The sequence below is a fragment of the Homo sapiens genome, chromosome 9 (genome assembly GCF_000001405.40).
Source record: "Homo sapiens chromosome 9, GRCh38.p14 Primary Assembly".
Lineage (NCBI taxonomy): Eukaryota > Metazoa > Chordata > Mammalia > Primates > Hominidae > Homo > Homo sapiens.
In genome coordinates this window covers 137391693-137411158 of record NC_000009.12, presented here as the reverse complement: position 1 = coordinate 137411158, position 19466 = coordinate 137391693, and the positions used below count along the sequence as shown (strand labels likewise).

Below are 19466 nucleotides of genomic sequence, written 5' to 3'. Positions count from 1 at the left end.
CCCCACCCGGGGGGCCGGCCTCGGGGCCTCAGCCGGAATCTGCTACAGGTTCTGCGGTGGTCCAGGGGCCCTAGAGGTGCCAGCCTATGCCCACCTGGACACCTGCTCAGCGCACAGGGCAGCCACAGCCAATGACCGAAATCTGCACTGAGGCTGGGGGCTGGGGCTCCAGGCACAGTCACCTGCAGTCCCCTGAGACGCCTGGACCTCACTCAGGCCCTGGGGGGTCTGCCAGGCTCTGTGGGAAAGCACTGAGGCCGGGGGCTGGGGCTCCAGGCACAGTCACCTGCAGAGCCTTGGACCTCACTCAGGCCCTGGGGGTCTGCCAGGCTCTGTGGGAAAGGACACAGCCCTCGCCCTGCCCCCCGCCCTCAGCAGCGTCGCCTCCACAGTGAGTCAGGCACGTCCCCCGTGGGTCACCTCCTCCATGCCAGGCCGCCCCCAGGGGGGCTTCCTCGTTGTGCAGTTCTGCCCCGTGTGGGTAGGGACCCAGCTGTGTCGTCTCCCTGGGTGTGGATCGTGGGGCCAGGGAACAAGAGCCTCTGGGGTTCTCAGAACCCAACGTTCTGTGGTCACAGGACTCATGGCAACAATTTGGCTTGAGTTAGCACCTTTCAGAAGAAATGAAGACACTTAAAAGGGTTGGTTGTTAATTTTTTTTTTTTTTTTTTTTTGAGACAGAGTTTCGCTCTGTCGCCCAGGCTGGAATGCGGTGGTGCAATCTCAGCTCACTGCAACCTCCACCTCCTGGGTTCAAGTGATTCTCCTGCCTCACCCTCCCAGGTAGCTGAGATTACAGGCACCCACCACCGCGCCTGGCTAATTTTTGTATTTTTAGTAGAGACGGGATTTCACCATGTTGGCCAGGCTGGTTTTGAACTCCTGGCCTCAAGTGATCTGCCCTCCTCAGGCTCCCACAGTGCTAGGATTGCAGGCATGAGCCACTGTGCCCAGCTGTTGGTTGTTAATTATTTTTGTTTTTTGAGACGGAGTTTAGCTCCTGTTGCCCAGCTGGAGTGTAGTGGCACGGTCTCGGCTCACTGCAACCTTCATCTCCCAGGTTCACACCATTCTCCTGCCTCAACGTCCCGAGTAGCTGGGATTACAGGCACCTGCCACCATGCCCAGCTAATTTTTTGTATTTTTAGTAGAGACAGGGTTTCACCATGTTGGCCAGGCTGGTCTCGAACTACTGACCTTGTGATCCGTCCGCCTCAGCCTCCTAAAGTGCTGGGATTACGGGCGTGAGCCACCGCGCCCAGCCAGCAGTTGTTAATTTTAAGTGGAAGCTGCAAAACTGGTGAGTGGTGTCGCCCCATCAGGGAGCTGGGGAGCCCCGCTTGTCCTGGTGTGGGCTTGGGACCTGGCACCACGTTCCGAGAAAGATGCTGAGAGATCCAGACAGGCTTTTTCATCCTAAAATGAGGCCAGTTACAGAGAGTGTGCAGCGAGGGAATGTGAACTGAATCCTTGCCAGCCGTTTCCATTCTCAGTCACATCAGCCCATGTCTCCACTTGGCCATTTTTAGGTCCAGGGCTTTGTAGACACAGCTCCCTCCCTACACGCCGCATGCCACCATGCCTGGATAGATACCTGTTTTTTTCATAGAAACAGAGTCTCGCTATGTTACCCAGGCTGGTCTCAAACTCCTGGACTCAAGCAATCCGCCTGCTTTGGCCTCCCAAAGTGGTGGGATCAAAGGTGTGAGCCACCACGCCGGGCCAGTTTTCTGTTAACTTAAAACACAATATCTAAAACTGGGTAATTTATAAAGAAAAGGAATTTATTTCTTACAGCTCTGGAGGCTAAGTCTAAGGGTGAGGGGAGCATCCGAGGAGGCGTTCATGCTGGCGGGATTCTGAATGAGGAGGTATTCATGCTGGTGGGACTCCGAAGGGTCCTGAGGCGGCTCGGGGCAGCCATGGTGAGGGCCCAGCATGCGGGCTCAGGCCTCAGGCCTCTCCTCCTCCTCTTATAAAGCCACCAGTTCCACTCCCGTGATAACCCAGGAATCCATGAATGGATTAATCCCTCCAGTGGGGCAGGATCCTCACCCCCCGGGCACGTCCCAAGGCCCCACCTTGAAACGCCGCAGCATGGTGATGGAATTCCAGCGTGTTTCAGAGGGACACACTTTAAATTATAGCAGCCGCCCTCCCACAGAAGGGACAGGCCGACTGCCCCCTTCCCAGGCTGATCAGCAAAGTGAGTGCCATCGGGGCCTTGTACAAGTTCATCCTGAGCTCAGGGATAAAAACAGCCCTGCAGACTTGTGGAGAGGGGCTGACCCAGCCTGATGGTGAGAGACAAGCTGCGCCCGGGTCCTGGGCCTGTGCGCCCGCTGGCCTGGCTTCCCTGTACAGGGTGGGTCTGTCCATTCCGATTGGCTCGAGGCTCCACCTTTTTTAAAGAGGATCTTGGAACTCACAGCCCACTCAAGGGACGCAGATAAAAGGCCCCCAGTCTCAGATTTGGGGTTACCATTGGTCTGAGGGGCCGGTTCAGCTGTGCTGGACGTCCCTGGAGGGCCTTGCTGAGCAGCTGGGGGGAGGTGTGGGGGCCGTAGGGGCTGCTGTCTCCCCCAGAGCCCTCTTTTTTTTTTTTTTTTTTTGAGGCAGAGTCTCACTCTATCGCCCAGGCTGGAGTGTAGTGGTGCGATCTCGGCTCACTGCAAGCTCCACCTCCCGGGTTCACGCCATTCACCTGCCTCAGCCTCCGGAGTAGCTGGGACTACAGGCGCCCGCCACCACGCCCGGCAAATTTTTATATTTTTAGTAGAGACGGGGTTTCACCGTGTTAACCAGGATGGTCTCGATCTCCTGACCTCGTGATCCTCCCGCCTCAGCTTCCCAAAGTGCTGGGATTACAGGCGTGAGCGACCATGCCCGGCCCCCCCACCCCAAAGCCCTCTTAAAAGCCCCTTGGGAGCTTTGGGGCACGTGCAGGGCCGGCCAAATGTTGGAGGAGACACATCCAGGCGCCCAGAGGAAGAGTCACTGTTGGGTTTTAGTAAAACACCCACGCAGCGCAGTCGAACGTGAGGAGGAGGGGCTGGGCTTCAGAGCTTTCTGGAGACACAGCAAGGAGGTTGGGCCAGGGAGACCCTTGGAGGCCTGAGGCTGGGAGACCACAGGAGGCATGAGGGTGGGAGATCCCCAGAGGCATGAGGCTGGGGAGACCCCCGGAGGCGTGAGGCTGGAAAACCCCTGGAGGCTTGAGGCTCCGCATTTGTGTGCTGCGGGGCCTGGGGTGTCCATGGTGCCCAAGGGGAAAGCCCCCTCCGGCCTCCCCCCAGACCCTTTGCTGTGCCCCTCCCGCCTCCCGCCTCCCGCGTGTGTCCTTGGGTCCAGCCGGCGCATCCAAGACCTCGAATGCCTGTGGACCCGTGGGCTCCAGTGACGGAAGCACTGGGCACTTCTCCCACTCCAGCTGGGCCGTCTTCAGAACCAGGCCAGGAGCCGCTGCGTTGGGGTTTATGCTTGGATGGTGGACGGCCGTGGGTGTGTCTGGGGGGCCGCACTCTGGGGTCTGGAGCTGCGTCTCCATCCTTCCCTGTCAGGGACCCTCTGAAGGGCCTGCGGGCCACCAGTCACCCTCCCTTAGCCAAGGGATCCCGGGAGATGGGGGCGGGGACGCTGGGTTCTGGGTTGTGGGGCTGGCAGGGCAGAGCCCGAGAGCGGCCAGACCTGCCCTTTGCACGGCACAGAGGCCCCCAGGAAAGGGCCTGCGGTGAGCCGGGGGCAGATGGCCCCTTGGGGGCCAGGACCTCAGGTGGGTGGGCTTCGCGGGGGAGCAGTCACCTCTGCGGTATTTAGGGCAGGCGGACAGAGGTGGAGGGGCCGCCCCGTGTTCGCCGCGGCCGCCGGGCTGGGCTCTGCCTGCAGCGCTGGCCTGGTGGGAAACGGAGACCCAGCCTGGGCGTGCGGGTAGGGGAGGCGCCTGGGACCGACGCGGCTGAGACGGAGGAGGCGCTGCCGGGTTCCACCAGCAGAGGGGCCCAGAGACCGGCCCGGACGCGCGGCGGTCGGCGTGGGGTGCCCGGGACTGGCTGCTCCGCAGGCCGCCCCCGCCCGCCCGCTCCGGTGCCTCTGTGAACGGGCGGGTTTGCTGGCGAGCGTTCTGGCCTCCACCACTCCGGGTGCAGCAGATGCGGGGCCTTCCCGGTCACAGGACCCTGGGACGCTGGGAGGCAGTGTTGGCTCCGCACCTCTCTCGGAGCCTGACGGCCTGGCTGGGGCTGCCCCGTCGGGTCCCCGCAGCGCGCAAGGCCGTCCCCAGCCTGCTGAGGGGGGACGGGCTGCACTCCTGGAAGGGAGGGGTGGGGGCTGAGGAGCGGCCTGGGGTGGGGGTCGGGACACAGACACCCCAGAGGAGGGCTGGGGAGAGGGTCTACCGCCCACTGAGGCTGTGGCCGGGGGAGTACTGAGAGCCCAGGGAAGTTTCCAGAAGCCGCTGGGAGTGCCCGTGGGAATGGAGGTGGTGGTGGGGGACCTGCTGCCTTTATTCATTTGCTCATCAGACACCATCAGCGCCACTAATGCCGCTGCCGTCTGGGGGTCGAGGGGTGCGTTGGTGCAGGAAGCCAAGTCCACCCTCCAGACGGCCACGGGGCACGCCAGGGGCAGGAGTGTTGGCCAAGAGCAGCCGTCGCCTCTGCCGTTTGGGACAAGACAAACAGAGGTGGAGCGGCCTCCTGTCAGGGCCTCCCTGTGCGATGGGGGTGTCACGAGGCTCACCCCGCCCTGGCTGCACTCAGCCCCCAGCTCTCAGCTCCAGATAACTTGCTGCCAGCCACCCTGGTTCTGTGCAGGGGCCTCATTTTTCTTTCTTTTCTTTTTCTTTTTCTTTTCTTTTTCTTTTTTTTTTCCTTTTTCCTTGCCTTTTATTTTCTTTCTTTTCCTTTCCTTTTCTTTTCTTTTCTTTCTTTTCTTTTTCTTTTTTGGAAACAGGGTCTTGCTCTGTCACCCAGGCTAGAATGCAGTGGCCCAATCTTGGGTCACCGCAGCCTTGACCTCCTGGGCTCAAGCGGTCCTCCCACCTCAGCCTCCTGAGTAGCTGGGACTACAGGTGCATGTTACCACGCCCAGCTGATTTTTTTTTTCATAGGATGGGGTCTCACTATGTTGCCCAGGCTGGTCTCAAACTCCTGAGCTCAAGTGATCCTCCCGCCTCGGCCTCCCACAAGGCTGGGATTACAGGCGTGAGCCACCGTGCCCAGCCAGTTTCACGTTTTATTCACTCTTCAGAGCACAGAGGCCTCTGCCTGGCATTGGGGCACGGGCAAGGTGTCTGTGGGCAGCGGGTCCCACCAAGGGTTCCAGGGCAGCAGATGGTAGGCAGGGCGGGGAGACCATGTGCATGGTACCCACCCCTGTGCCGGCCGGCAGGAGAAGCCAGGCTCATGCTGAGTCAGGCTAACTCTAACATTTATCAGGAACTTGATCTACTTCAATGTGATGTAAGAAAATCAAATGTGCTTTCAGCAGAAGATCCAGGGAGGAAACCAACAATAGAGAGAAATGGTGGCTTCTGCTGCCTTACAGAGTGGGAGCTGTGCCTGAGCCTTCTGCCTCTCAGCCCAGAGCCTGGCATTTCTTGAACCATGAGACGTAAAGTTTATTGTTGAGAGCCTGAGAAACTGTGGATGCTGGGGACGGGTGAGTGGCTGGGGACGGGTGAGTGGCCTGCGACGGCCGCCCTGGGCTCCGTCCGCGGCTCTGCAAATCCTTGGGCCACGGACACCAGCACGAATGAGTCCAGGACCTGTGTGGGGGGCCCACCCTGCCCCCGTTGGTCCTGTGGTCCAGGGGTCCCCAGGGAGCAGTTGGGGAAGCAGCGGGGGTTGGGGCTCTGGCCCCTGCTCTGGCCCTGGGTGCCCACCGCCTTCCCCCGGGGGTGCTGGCCCAGCCCTCTGTGGGTCAGAGCCCACTGTGCCGGACCCCAGCGCAGTTAGGAGGTCCAAGGGTGGGATGTGCGGATGTGCGGGGCTCCCAAGTAGGGTCTTTGGACACCCGCTGGCAGAGGCCCTGGGAATTTGGGAATGGCCACTGGCTCACCTGTGGGAAAGCACTGTGTCCCCTCCCAGCCCCTGGCTCACCTGTGAGACAGCACGTGTCCCCTCCCAGCACCCGGCTCGCCTGGGGGATAGCACTGTGTCCCCTCGAGCACCTGGGAGGGCTGTGGCAACAGCTCTGAGGGGATAGGTAGGGGCTGAGGCAGATGAGGTGGCACTGGGAGCAAGGAGGAGACAGGCGTGGCCAGGAGGGGACTGTGGCTTTTAGTGATTTTTTTTTTTTTAAGACAGAGCTTCACTCTTGTTGCCCAGGCTGGAGTGCAATGGTGCGACCTTGGCTCACTGCAACCTCTGCCTCCCGGGTTCAAGCATTTCTCCTGCCTCAGCCTCCCAAGTAGCTGAGATTAGAGGCATGTGCCACCACGCCCAGCTAATTTTATATTTTTAGTAGAAATGGGGTTTCTCCATGTTGGTCAGGCTGGTCTCGAACTCCCGACCTCAGGTGATCCTCCGGCCTTGGCCTCCCAAAGTGCTGGGATTATAGGCATGAGCCACCGCGCCTGGCCGGCTTTTAGTGATTTTTTTTGCATGATTTTTCAGAATTTGCAAATGTAGTTTTCCAAATATTGTATTACATGCATAATTGCCTTTATAGGCAGCTGAGGCAATAAAAAGCAAATAAAAGTGGAGAGTGGTAGAGTGAGGAGACTGGGACGAGACCTGCTTTGATCCTGGCTGAGCTCAGTTTTCTCATCTGGGAGATGGGCACGCCTCTTTCATGAAGGCGGAGGGAATAGTGTGCAGAGGCCTTGTGGGCTCCCTGACCCTTCCCCAAGAGCTGGCGTGGGGAGCCTCTGCCTCTGTTGGGGAAGGACCCGCGATCTGCTGTGGGCTGAGTTGTTTCCCCCCAAATTCCCATGTTGAAGCCCTAGGCGCCATGTCACTGTATTTGGAGATGGGGTCTTGGCAGAGGTAAAATGAGGTCGTTGGGGTGGGCCCTAATCCAGTAGGACTGGTGTCACCACAAGAAGGGGAGATCAGGACACAGACGCACATGGGGGGACCCGTGAGGACCCAGGGAGGAGACCCAGGGAGTGGGGCCCACCCTCCCCACCCAGTCTCAGAGCTGCAGCCTCGGGACAGTGAGGACACACGTCCCTGTCACTCGCGCCCTGTGTGTGGTGCTTTGTACGGCCCTGGAGGACACTCCACATCCTTCGGGGTCTATGCAGAGATGGCGTGGGGGTGTGACTGCCCCGCCTCGGGACCCATCCCTATCCCACAGGTCTGTCTTCCCCTTCATTTCCTGGTGAAGAGCCCAGGCTGGGGCATCCACGGTTCTGGGCATGGTGGAGAGGGCCTTCTGAGAAGGGCAGCGACCACTTTCTGGAGCCCTTGGAAGCTGGCGGTGGGCTCTGCGTGGCTGGGTCTGCCCTGCTGGGAGGAGCCCTAAGACCCTGGATCTCGGGCCTGCTGGTCCATCTCCCCCAAGGCCAATTAAGGTGACAGCAAAAGAATTAAAAAGGCAAAACCCCTTAGGGGCAAAGAGAAGGAGAGAGGCGAAAACTGGGGGGCTCGGGAATGGAGGCCCAGGTTTCCTGGGTACGGGCGTCTGGAGGGCTGAAACGGACCTGGGGCGGCCTTCATGGGGTGCTGCCAGACCCTGCGGCCCCCGACCCTCGGAGACCCTGGGCCAGGGTGTGCTGGCTGCTGCTGCTGCTGGGCTGGGGGTGGGGAGGGCTACAGAGGAACGGGGTCTGCAGCTCCCTGCCTGTGCCCCCAAACTCAGTGGCTGGCAGGTGCGGCTGGGAGGGCTTTTTCCTGGACAGACCAGCCGGGAGGAGACGCGTTCGGGTCTGCATCTTCTGGGGCCCCTCAGGTCACTCACAGTGGGGCCCCACTCCTGGGGTGCCCCCAACCCATTTCCAAGCAGATGACTAGTGCCTCACTTTCAGATATGCATAGCAGTCCCCACACTGCCATGGAGGGGAGAGGGGTCAGCGCCGGGGATCCTGCAGGAAATGAGCCAAGCCGAGCCACAGGGTCTCCCGTGGCGGGTGATATGCTTTGGCTGTGTCCTCACCCACATCTCAACTTGAATTGTATCTCCCAGAATTCCCACCTGTTGTGGGAGGGACCCAGGGGGCAGTAATTGAATCCTGGGGCCGGTCTTTCCCATGCTGTTCTCATGGTAGTGAATATGACTCACGAGATCTGATGGCTTTATCAGGGTTTCCACTTTTGGTTCCTCATTTTCTCTTGCTGCCACCATGTAAGAAGTGCCTTTCGCCTTCCACCGTGATTCTGAGGCCTCCCCAGCCATGTGGAAATGTGAGTCCAATTAAACTTGTTTTTGTTCTGAGTCTCAGGTATGTGTTTATCAGCAGCGTGAAAACGGGCTAACGCAGTAAATTGGTACCAGTGGAGTGGGGTATTGCTGAAAAGATACCCAAAAATGTGGAAGCGACTTGGAACTGGGTAACAGGCAGAGGTTGGAACAGTTTGGAGGGCTCAGAAGACAAGAAGATGTGGGAAGGTTTGGAACCTCCTAGAGACTTGTTGAATAGCTTTGACAAAAATGCTGATAGTGTTATGAACAATAATGTCCAGGCTGAGATGGTCTCAAATGGAGATGGGGAACTTGTTGAGAACTGAAGCAAAGGTGACTCTTGTTATCTTTTAGCAAAGAGACTGGCAGCATTTTGTGCCTGTCCTAGAGATTTATGGAACTTTGACCTTGAGAGAGAGATGATTTAGGGTATCTGGTGGAAGAAATCTCTAAGCAGCAAAGCATTCAAAAGCTGACTTGGATGCTGTTAAAAGCATTCTGGGACCAGGCACAATGGCTCACACCTGTAATCCCCACACTTTGGGAGGCTGAGACGGGCGGATCACGAGGTCAGGAGTTCAAGACCGGCCTGACCAATATGGTGAAACCACATCTCTACTAAAAATACAAAAATTAGCCGGGCGTGGTGGCACGCACCTGTAATCCCAGCTACTCAGGAGGCTGAGGCAAGAGAATCACTTGAACCAGAAAGGCAGAGGTTGCAGTGAGCCGAGATCACACCACTGCACTCCAGTCTGGTGACGGAGCAAGACTCCATCTCAAAAACAAAACTAAAAAAGAATTATGTTTAAAAAGGGAAACAGCATAAAAATTCAGAAAATGTGCAACCTGACGCAGTAGAAAAGAAAAACCAATTTTTTCAGGAGAAATTCAAGCCGGCTGCAGAAATTTACATAAGTAGCAAGGAGGCTAATGTTCATCCCCAAGACCATGGGGAAAATGTCTCCAGGTCATGTCAGAGACCTTCATGGCAGCCCCTCCCATCATAGGCCTGGAGGCCCGGGAGGAAAAAGTGGTTTTGTGGGCTGGGCCCAGGGTCCCTGTGCTGTGTGCAGTCTAGGGACTTGGTGCCCCATGTCCCAGACACTCCAGCCGTGGCTGAAAGAGGCCAACATAGAGCTCGGGCTGTGGCTTCAGAGGGTGGAAGCCCCAAGCCTTGGCAGCTTCCACGTGGTGTTGAGCTTGTGGGTCCACAGAAGTCAGGAAATGAGGTTTGGGAACCTCTGCCTACATTTCAGAAGATGTTTGGAAATGCCTAAATGTCCAGGCAAAAGTTTGCTGTGGGGCGGGGCCCTCATGGAGAACCTCTGCTAGGGCAGTGCAGAAGGGAAATGGGTGGGGGCCGGGCACGGTGGCTCACACCTGTAATCCCAGCACTTTGGGAGGCCGAGGCAGGCAGATCACAAGGTCAGGAGATCAAGACCATCCTGGCTAACACGGTGAAACCCCGTCTCTACTAAAAATACAAAAATATTTAGTCGGGTGTGGTGGCGGGCATCTGTTGTCCCAGCTACTTGGGAGGCTGAGGCAGGAGAATGGTGTGAACCCGGGAGGTGGAGCTTGCAGTGAGCTGAGATCGCGCCACTGCACTCCAGCCTGGGCAACAGAGTGAGACACCATCTCAAAAAAAAAAAAAAAAAAAGGAAATGGGTGGGAGCCCCCACACAGAGTCCCTACTGGGACACTGCCTAGTGGGACTGTGAGAAGCAGGCCACTGTCATCCAGATGCCAGAATGGTAGATCCACCGACAGCCTGCACCATGTGCCTGGAAAAGCAGCAGACACTCAACACCACCTGTGAAAGCAGCTGGGAGGGAGGCTGTACCATGCAGAGTCACAGGGGTGGAGCTGCCCAAGACCATGGGAACCCACCTCTTGCATCAGCATGACCTGGATGTGAGACCTGGAGTCAAAGGAGATCATTTTGGAGCTTTAAAATTTGACTGCCCTTCTGGATTTCAGACTTGCGTGGGCCCTGTAATCCCTTTGTTTTGTCCAATTTCTCCCATTTGGAACTTTTTTTTTTTTTTGAGATGGAGTCTCGCTCTGTTGCCCAGGCTGGAGTGCAATGGCGCGATCTCGGCTCATTGCAACCTCCACCTCCCAGGTTCGAGTGATTCTCCTGCCTCAGCCTCCCAAGTAGCTGGGACTATAGGTGGGTGCCACCACGCCCGGCTAATTTTGTATTTGTAGTAGAGACAGGGTTTCTCCATGTTGGTCAGGCTGGTCTCAAACTCCCGACCTCAGGTGATCCACCCTCCTCGGCCTCCCAAAGTGCTGGGATTATAAGAATGAGCCACCATGCCCGGCCCAGAATGGCTGTATGTACTGAATACCTGTACCCCCATTGTATCTAGGAAGTAACTAACTTGCTTTTGATTTTACAGGCTCATAGGCGGAAGAGACTTGCCTTGTCTCAGATCAGACTTTGGACTGTGGACTTTTGGGTTAATGCTGAAATCAGTTGAGACTTTGAGGGACTGTTGGGAAGGCATGATTGGTTTTGAAATGTGAGGACGTGAGATTTGGAGGGGCCGGGACGGAATGATGTGGTTTGGCTGTGTCCCCACCCAAATCTCAACCCGAATTGTATCTCCCAGAATTCCCACGTTATGGGAGGGACCCAGGGGGAGTAATTACATCATGGGGGCCAGTTTTTCCCATGCTATTCTTCTGATAGTGAGTAAGTCTCATGAGATCTGACGGGTTTATCAGAGGTTTCCTCTTTTGCTTCTTCCTCATTTTCTTTTTTTTTTTTTTTTTTTGAGATGGAGTTCTGCTCTGTCACCCAGGCTGGAGTGCAATGGTGCAGTCTCAGCTCACTGCAACCCCTGTTCCCAGGTTCAAGTGATTCGCCTTTCTCCGCCTCCTGAGTACCTGGGAGGCACCACCACCACGCCTGGCTGCTTTTTGTATTTTTAGTAAAGACAGGGTTTCGCCATGTTGGCAGGCTGGTCATGAACTCCTGACCTCAGGTGAACTGCCCGCCTCAGCCTCCCAAAGTGCTGGCATTACAGGAGTGAGCCACTGTACCCGGCTCTCATTTTCTCTTGCCACCACCATGTAAGAAGCGCCTTTCGCCTCCCACCATGATTCTGAAGCCTCCCCAGCCATGTGGAACCATAAGTCCAATTAAACCTCTTTTTGTTCCCAGTTTCAGGTATGTCTTTATCAGCAGCGTGAAAATGAACTAATATGGGGGTTAGGAAGAGAAGCCAGGAATAAGAGAGGAGACCCTTGTAAAAAGCTTCAGAAAACCAGAACTCGTGGATAGTATTAAATTTGTGATAGCAGAAATGAACCTTTCAGTGAGAGGGTTGCAAAATAAAGTTCAGGAAATCTCCCAAAAAGGCAGAGAAGGAAAGATGAGAAGACAAAGTAATTCTCAGGAAGTGTAAGTTCTAAACAGCAGGAGTTCCTGAGGACAGAACTGAGGGCGTGGAGGGCAGGACACCATCGGGAAGCCACATGCAGAAGGGTGGCCACGGAGCCCCCAGGGGACCACACCATGTCCGTCCTGCTGGGATCCGGCCACGGCCCCGGGGTCTCCCCAGAAGATGCTGGCACTCGAGTCAGGGGGCATCAGATTTCTCAGCAACCCCTGAGGCTAGAAGACAGTAGAGGGGCGTTACCATGACCGTCAGGAGAATGACCCCTGCCCCACAGCCACGCACAGCCAGGCTTCCAGTGGAGGTGCAGTGTGCGTGTGTCATGGGGACGTGGATGCGCCTGTGCCACAGGGACAGTCTGTGTATGTCACGGGGATGTCGGTGTGCACGTGTTACGAGGATGTTGGACGCGTGTCACGGGGACATGGTTGCCTGTGTGTCTTGGGGATGTGTCTTGGGGACGCGGGTGCACATGTGTCACGGAGACGCGGTTGCCTGTGTGTCTTGGGGACGCGGGTGCATGTGTGTCACGGGGACGCGGGTGCCTGTGTGTCTTGGGGATGCGGGTGCACGTGTGTCACGGGGACGCGGGTGCCTGTGTGTCACGGGGACGCGGGTGCCTGTGTGTCACGGGGACGCGGGTGCCTGTGTGTCTCGGGGACGCGGGTGCCTGTGTGTCTTGGGGATGCGGGTGCACGTGTGTCACGGGGACGTGGGTGCCTGTGTGTCTTGGGGACGCGGTCGCCTGTGTGTCTTGGGGACGCGGGTGCCTGTGTGTCTTGGGGACGCGGGTGCCAGTGTGTCTTGGGGACGCGGTTGCCTGTGTGTCTTGGGGACGCGGTTGCCTGTGTGTCTTGGGGACGCGGTTGCCTGTGTGTCTTGGGGACATGGGTGCACATGTGTCATGGGGACGTTCTCAGACAAGCAAAGGGCTACTCAGTGCTCCTCCCTTGCGGTTCTGCCTGAGGTGCTCCTGGAAAAGGTGCTCCCTTAGAACTAGGAGGTGAACTTCGGGGAGCACAGGGGACAAGAGGGAAGGGGGTCCAGGGTGAGCAGGGCTGCAGTGCAGCCATCCAGACGGAGGCAGGCAGAGGCTGGGGAATGGGTGTCTCCACAAAGCGTGTGAACCCCAGAGCCAGGCGTGCAGTGCTGCAGACGGGGCCGTTCACCAGGGGAACAGAGGGCGCCCGGCTGTGGACCGTGGAGCCACAGTTCCTTCTGTCTTTCCCCCTCGTTCTTTCAATCTGGTCCTTCTTTGATCTGTTTTCAGATTCACTGACTCATCTGCCATCCACCTGCTGTGAAGCACAGCCACTGAGTCAAACACATTTCAGTGATGACACTTTTTATTGCCGAGTTTCCATTTAGCTCTTTTATGTAGTTTCATATAATCTTCATTTCTCTCCTTTTACTCATTAAAACCATATTTTTTAACTTTATTCATGGTTTTTTGGGGTTTTCTTGAGACAGGGTCTCGCTCTGTCATGCAGGTTGGAAGGCAGTGGTGCGATCTCGGCTCACTGCAGCCTTGATCTCTGGGCTTCCAGCGACTCTTCTGCCTCCGCTTGCTGAGTAGCTGGAACCAAAGGCGTGAGCCACCACACCCGGCTACTTTTTAATTTTTTTGTACAGTTTGACCATGTTGCCTAGGATGGTCTCAAACTCCTGGGCTCAAGTGATCCTCCCGCCTCAGCCTCCCACACTGCACTCGGCCTCCTTGAACTGTTTGAACATGTTTTCTGTTCATTCTGTGAACGCAGTTGAAATCGTTGTGTTAAAGTCTTTGCTAACACCAATAACTTTGAGGCCTTCCTCGAAGTTGCTTTCTGTTCTCTGTTTTTTGTGTTTTTCCACTTGTTTATGGGTCATATTTCCTTGTTTCTTTTTAGGTCTTGTGATTTTTATTACGTGCTGAGTTTCGTGAATTATCCATTGTGGAAACTCTGGATTTAGGTATCATCCTCTGAAGAGCATTGTTTTTCGCTCCGGTGGGCTGTTCAGCTTCTGGCTGAGTCCCTTGAACTTGGGGTTGTGTCTTGATGTTTTGTCAGGGGCTCTTCGGAGAGCCTAGGGCCTTTCTCAAGCCTCCTAAGCTGGGTGGGACTCAACCTTCTCCAGCTTTCACGGGCTTGGTCTGGATCTGTCCTCCGGCTTTCGTGGGCTTGGTCTGGATCTGGCGAGAGGCTCTGGAGCAGGCCTTCCTCTCAGCATGGTCTTCGGCTGTGGCCGTCTGGTCCTGGTTGTGTGTTGATGGGGTCCTTCCTCTTGGCTGGCCTGGACTGCAGTGTGTCAGGCGCTGTGTGGCCTCTGGTGTCTCCACTGTATTCTCAGCCCTGGGGCCGCGGGTCCTGGGAGGCTCGGGGGTCCTCCTGCCCACACACTCACTGCCCCAGCAGCCCCTCCTGCAGGTGTGTGTCCCCCAGTGGCCCCCTCGGCATGGTGGGACACTGTGCCCAGCCCAGGCTCCAGCGTGGGGAGCAGCTGTCCTGGGGCTGCCTTGGGCACTGACTGCTGTCGGGAAACGTGGCCTCACACTGCCTGTTGCCCAGAAACTGGTTTCCTAAGATATATCATCCAGTTTTACGTCGTTTGCAGTGGGAGAGCCACAGTCCCTCCCCGACGGTGGAGCAGGAGTCTGGAGCAGCCTGCGTGAGAAAGGAAAAGGCATCCTAACCTCCATGTGACGCGGCTGGGAACGGCCTCTGTCCGTCCTGAGTCCACAGACGATGTCCACGTAACTTTTTTCAGGAGGTTGTGTTGTTGTGTGTTTAGGGGTGCGTGTTGGCCGACAGGTGAGACAGATTCTTACCCTGCCTGGGCGGAGCTGTCAGTAATGTGTAAAACTGAAGGCCTCTAAGTGACTGTGCCGCGTGTGGCTGAGAAACACACACAGGTCCGTCTCCCCGGGAATGGCCACCGTGAGGGCTGCCTGGGGGAGGGCGGCACAGCTCTCTCCTGCACGCCTGTGTTAGGATTCGGAGTTCACATGCTGAGCTTTGTGTAACTGCTGTGTGTGATTCAAACTAAAGCTATGCACTCAGAGAAAGCCTTTTTATGCAGCCTTGCGTAAGCAGACTGAAGGAGAAGGGTGACCCTCGTAAGTGTAGATAAGGGTTTTGCATCAAAAACACTCCCAGGGGCCAGGCGCGGTGGCTCACGCCTGTAGTCCCAGCACTTTGGGAGGCTGAGGCGGGTGGATCACCTGAGGTCAGGAGTTCGATACCAGCCTGACCAACATGGGGAAACCCCATCTCCACTAAAAATACAAAAATTAGCCAGGCGTGATGGCGCATGCCTGTCATCCCAGCTACTCGGGAGGCTGAGGCAGGAGAATCGCTTGAACCCGGAAGGCGGAGGTTGCAGTGAGCTGAGATGGCCCCACTGCACTCCAGCCTGGGCATTGCAGAGAGACTCTGTCTCCAAAAAAAAAAAAAAGAAAGAAAGAAAGAAAAGAAAAAAAAACACTCTGAGGGAGACTGAGGTCTGCCTGGGATGAGAGCTGTCAGCGGCCGCCTGGAGTCTTACGGAGCTGCGTACTGGGTCAGCCGTGAGGGCGTCACTCCGAGGTCCCTGGTCCTGCAGGCGCCCTTGCCCTCTGGAGGAGAGCACCTCTCTCCCATGTGGCTCCCTCAGGGCAGGACACACAGCCTGAGGGGGACATGGCAAGGGGGGTCACGCTGTCCTCAAGAACAGGCCCCTCTGCACTCCCGCGAGGGTCTGTCTACTGTGCCCCCCCCCAGGGCCCCTCCCACCCCCTGCCCTCCCTGCTGAAAGCTGGGACGGTTTGGCAGGGAACTGGAATGCAGGGTCCAAACTTGGCAGCCGTCACCCCAGCTGGGAGAGGAGTGTGGAGCTGCCCGCTATGCTCAGCGACTGGGGGTCCCACTTGGGCCCCCCCAGGCACCAGCTCCCTCCACCACCTCCAGGGGCTGTGGGCGTGGGCTCTGCATGGCTGCCTGTTGCAGTGGGCTCTGCATTCACCTGATTGTCTGTTTCTGCAGATCCTCGTTCCTAGCTGCCTGCCAGCGTCCTCGGCCCGGCCCTGAGGATGGACCCAGGAGATCCCGCTGGTGACCCTGCCGCTGGCGAGCGCCACCGCATGGGTGAGTCTGAGCCTGATGGTGCCGAGTCTCCCTGGGGCTGTGGGGGGAGGTGCGTGGGTGTGCATGGGGGGTGGTGGCGCCCACTGTGTACTCAGTGACGAGGGCCAGGCTGCTGGCCCCTAGCTGCGGGCCTCTCTACAGTGTCCACGGCTTGGGACCTTGTGAGTCCGGAGGCCCCACTGTGGCCTTGTTGTCCTCGGGGGTCAGGACAGGCCGCCTCCTTGGGCCCCAGCGTGGGTGGCCTGGCGCCGGGCCTGTGACAGGATCCGGGGGAGGTGGCGGGGACAGTGCAGCTGCTCAGGGCTGGCCGCAGAGGTGGGAGCTCTGGTCCCCTCTGTCCCTCGGGGAGCCAGGCGGAGGGCCCGGAACACCCTTGGGGGCTTAGCGCCGCCACTGGGGGCTCAGGGAACCCACAGCCTCTTGGGTCTCGGGCGGTTCCAGGGTGGCCTCCAGGGTCCCTAGTTTTTTAAACTGAGGCATTTTTCATCCCTTCGAGTTAAGAAGAACATCTGCCCTCCCAGCAGCTTTTTCAGGTTAAAAAAGAGAAATGAGAGGCACCTTCCCTGTGGGCAAAGCCGGGGAGGCCGCATCCCCGCTCGCTCGGCTGCCCTGCCAGATTCAGTGCTGAGGATAAACAGCCCGAGGGGAGGTGCAGCCTCTCTCCCTCCTGTTCCTACAGATCGAGACCCTGCAAGCTGAAGACTGGGCCAGGGTTAGGGAAGCGGAGGCTGGAAGGCCGGGATTAGGGAAGCGGAGGCTGGGAGGCCGGGGTTAGGGAAGCGGAGGCTGGGAGGCCGGGGTTAGGGAAGCGGAGGCTGGGAGGCCGGGGTTAGGGAAGCGGAGGCTGGGAGGCCGGGCTTAGGGAAGCGGAGGCTGGGAGGCCGGGGTTAGGGAAGCGGAGGCTGGGAGGCCGGGGTTAGGGAAGCGGAGGCTGGGAGGCCGGGGTTAGGGAAGCGGAGGCTGGGAGGCCGGGGTTAGGGAAGCGGAGGCTGGGAGGCCGGGGTTAGGGAAGCGGAGGCTGGGAGGCCGGGGTTAGGGAAGCGGAGGCTGGGAGGCCGGGGTTAGGGAAGCGGAGGCTGGGAGGCCGGGGTTAGGGAAGCGGAGGCTGGGAGGCTGGGGTTAGGGAAGCAGAGGCTGGGAGGCCAGGGTTAGGGAAATGGAGGCTGGGAGGCTGGGGTTAGGGAAGCGGCGGCTGGGAAGGAGTGGAGCTGCCTAGTGCCAGAGGGGTCAGCCCGAGCCTCAGCTGCTCTCTGTGCCGGGGACGGGCTGGGGCGGGAAGCCTCCTGGCAGGGGCTCGGCCCCAGTGGGAGCTGTCCGGGGCCATGGCTTTGTGGGCAGAGGGTGAGAAGGGGGTGCCGGGGCCCCTTCACATCCTTCACCCTGCAGTCCTTGTAAACAGCAGTGAGAGCTGTAAGGCCCTGGCCCAGCCGCCTCGCCCTGGGCTGCAGGCCCTCAGTTTGTTGTGGGTTTACTGCCTTTTCACTCACCGCCCCCTGGCCTTTGCCCAGTTCCACCCTACACATGCCCTGCCTGGCAGCCCCTCCATGGGGCAGGGCCATGGCCCTCCCCTCTGTGAAAGCCCTGCTCCCACATGGCAGCAGCTGAGGCTCTCTGCCTCAGTTTCCCTATCCCACGCAGTTGCCTCCTCGGGCCTTGGACCCCTCCAGGGGCTTCCTCTCTGCCTTCCTCTTCTGTGTCCCAGTGGGTGCTGAGGGCTGTGGGGGCACCTCCGGGCATGTCGCCTTCCCTGATGTAGCCAGGTCAGCGTGTGCTCGGGGAGGGGCCACCTCTGAGCTGGGCGGGGCTTGGTGTGGATGTGGCCCCCTCAGCAGGCACAACCCTGGCTGTCCTGTGGGGCCCTGACCACACACCTGCCCCTCTGGGGATGGGCCCAGACCCCCTCACCCTTCCGTTCATCCACCGCCTCCTCTGAGGCCATCTGCGGGCCCCGGGCCTGCACCTGTGTGGGATGAGGCCCTGTTACCTCCCCTGGAGACCGCCGTCAGGGCCGGGGAGCGCATGGGACCCTGGGTTCGCCTCAGCACAGAGCTGACTCTCCCTGCACAGGCACCCACAGGCTTCTACAGCCTCTTCTCCACCTAAGCAGAGTGGGATGTTTTCAAAGTGCAACACCCCAGCTAGCAGGGCCCCTGGAACAGCCTCGGCGCCCCCTGGAACACTAATGGCCCTCCCTGGAACAGACACGGCACCCCCACCGAGAACAGCCTCGGTGCCCCCTGGAACAGCCTCAGCACCCCCTGGAACACTAATGGCCCTCCCTGGAACAGACACGGCACCCCCACCGAGAACAGCCTCGGTGCCCCCTGGAACAGCCTCAGCACCCCCTGGAACACTAATGGCCCTCCCTGGAACAGATACGGCCCCCCGCCAGAACAGACATGGTGCCCGCTGGAACACTAATGGTCCTCCCTGGAACAGCCTCGGTGCCCCCTGGAACACTAATGGCCCTCCCTGGAACAGACACGGCGCCCCCCCACAGAACAGCCTCGATGCCCCCTGGAACAGCCTCGGTGCCCCCTGGAACAGCCTCGGTGCCCCCTGGAACAGCCTGGTGCTCCTGGAACAGACACAGCCCCCCCAGAACAGACACAGCACCCCCTGGAACAGCCTGGCGCTTCCTGGAATGGCCACATCCCCCCATCCTTTCTGTGCTGCTTTAGGCATCTGCCCTTACATGGTTCGTGTCCAGCTCTGTCAACAAGGCCAGCTCCACAAGAGGCCCCAGCTCAGCCCTCCCCAGTGGGCTCCCCTACTCAGGCTCTGGGTCAGCTTCTTCCCAGGAGGTGTCCTGGCCCCTGTGCTGGCCCCGCCTCGCTGCCTGGACACCTGTCCGTGCCACCCTGGTCACTGAGCAGGACATCCGCGTCTGTGGCCCCTGGGACCCTGCCCCCGACAGCCAGGCCTGGGTTTGTCCTTTTAGGTAGAGTGCCTGGTCCAGGTCATTGGAGGAGAGTCCACATGGCCACCTCTGGCGTGTTCTAGAGAGGCCCTCCCGCGCTGGGTCAGGAGGCATCATCGGGACAGGAGAAGGGGGCTGAGCTCCTGTTCCTCTCTCCCTCCCCCGAGGCCAAGAAACATTCCCATCCGAATGTCCACTGCGCTCACAGATTCCTTTCCTCCTAAAACTTCAGCCTTGGCCAGGCTCACGGCCAGGATTATGGTGGCTCACGCCTGTAATCCCAGTACTGTGGGAGGCCGAGGCAGGAGGATCACGAGGTCAGAAGATCGAGACCATCCTGGCCAACATGGTGAAACCCCGTCTCTACTAAAAATACAAAAATTAGCTGGACATGGTGGCGGGCGCCTGTATTCCCAGCTACTGGGGAGGCTGAGGCAGGAGAATGGCTTGGAGGCAGTAGAACTGCTTGAACCCTGGAGGCGGAGGTTACAGTTATCCGAGGTTGTGTCATTGCACTCCAGCCTGGGGAACAGAGCGAGACTCCATCTCAAAAAAAATAAAAAACTTCAGCTTTTGCATGAGCAGGCGCAGTTGAGGTCAGAAAGTCCACGTTGCCCACGTCCACCTGGTTCGGGGTTTCCAGGCGGCGCTTGAGCCTTCCTTGGGAAATTCAGAGTCCCACAGACGGCA

The 19466-nt window shown here is 58.4% G+C and overlaps 1 protein-coding gene across 9 annotated transcripts in view, besides 2 other annotated features; it reads left to right on the top strand.

Moving 5' to 3' along the window:
• EXD3 (exonuclease 3'-5' domain containing 3) overlaps positions 1-19466 on the top strand; it is a 116267-nt gene that overhangs the window by 12004 nt on the left and 84797 nt on the right. For 7 of the 9 annotated variants that reach the window (NR_104598.2, NM_017820.5, XM_047423544.1 and 4 more), the window contains exon 2: positions 15755-15856. Coding sequence is in view for 7 of the 9 variants with exons in the window: in NM_017820.5 (NP_060290.3) it covers positions 15802-15856 (55 nt within the window). In the remaining 2 variants the exon portion in view is untranslated. Of the gene's footprint in view, positions 1-4503; positions 5659-15754; positions 15857-17923; positions 19358-19466 lie in introns of those variants that run through there. The other 2 variants (NR_104599.2, XM_047423546.1) reach the window with 2 other exon arrangements.
• Positions 3861-4220: a silencer, noted in NCBI's record as "silent region_20616". NCBI's record gives its function as "represses an Ori minimal core promoter by ATAC-STARR-seq in GM12878 lymphoblastoid cells {active_cell/tissue: GM12878}" and the evidence as "EXISTENCE:reporter gene assay evidence [ECO:0000049][PMID:35858748]".
• Positions 4261-4340: a silencer, noted in NCBI's record as "silent region_20615". NCBI's record gives its function as "represses an Ori minimal core promoter by ATAC-STARR-seq in GM12878 lymphoblastoid cells {active_cell/tissue: GM12878}" and the evidence as "EXISTENCE:reporter gene assay evidence [ECO:0000049][PMID:35858748]".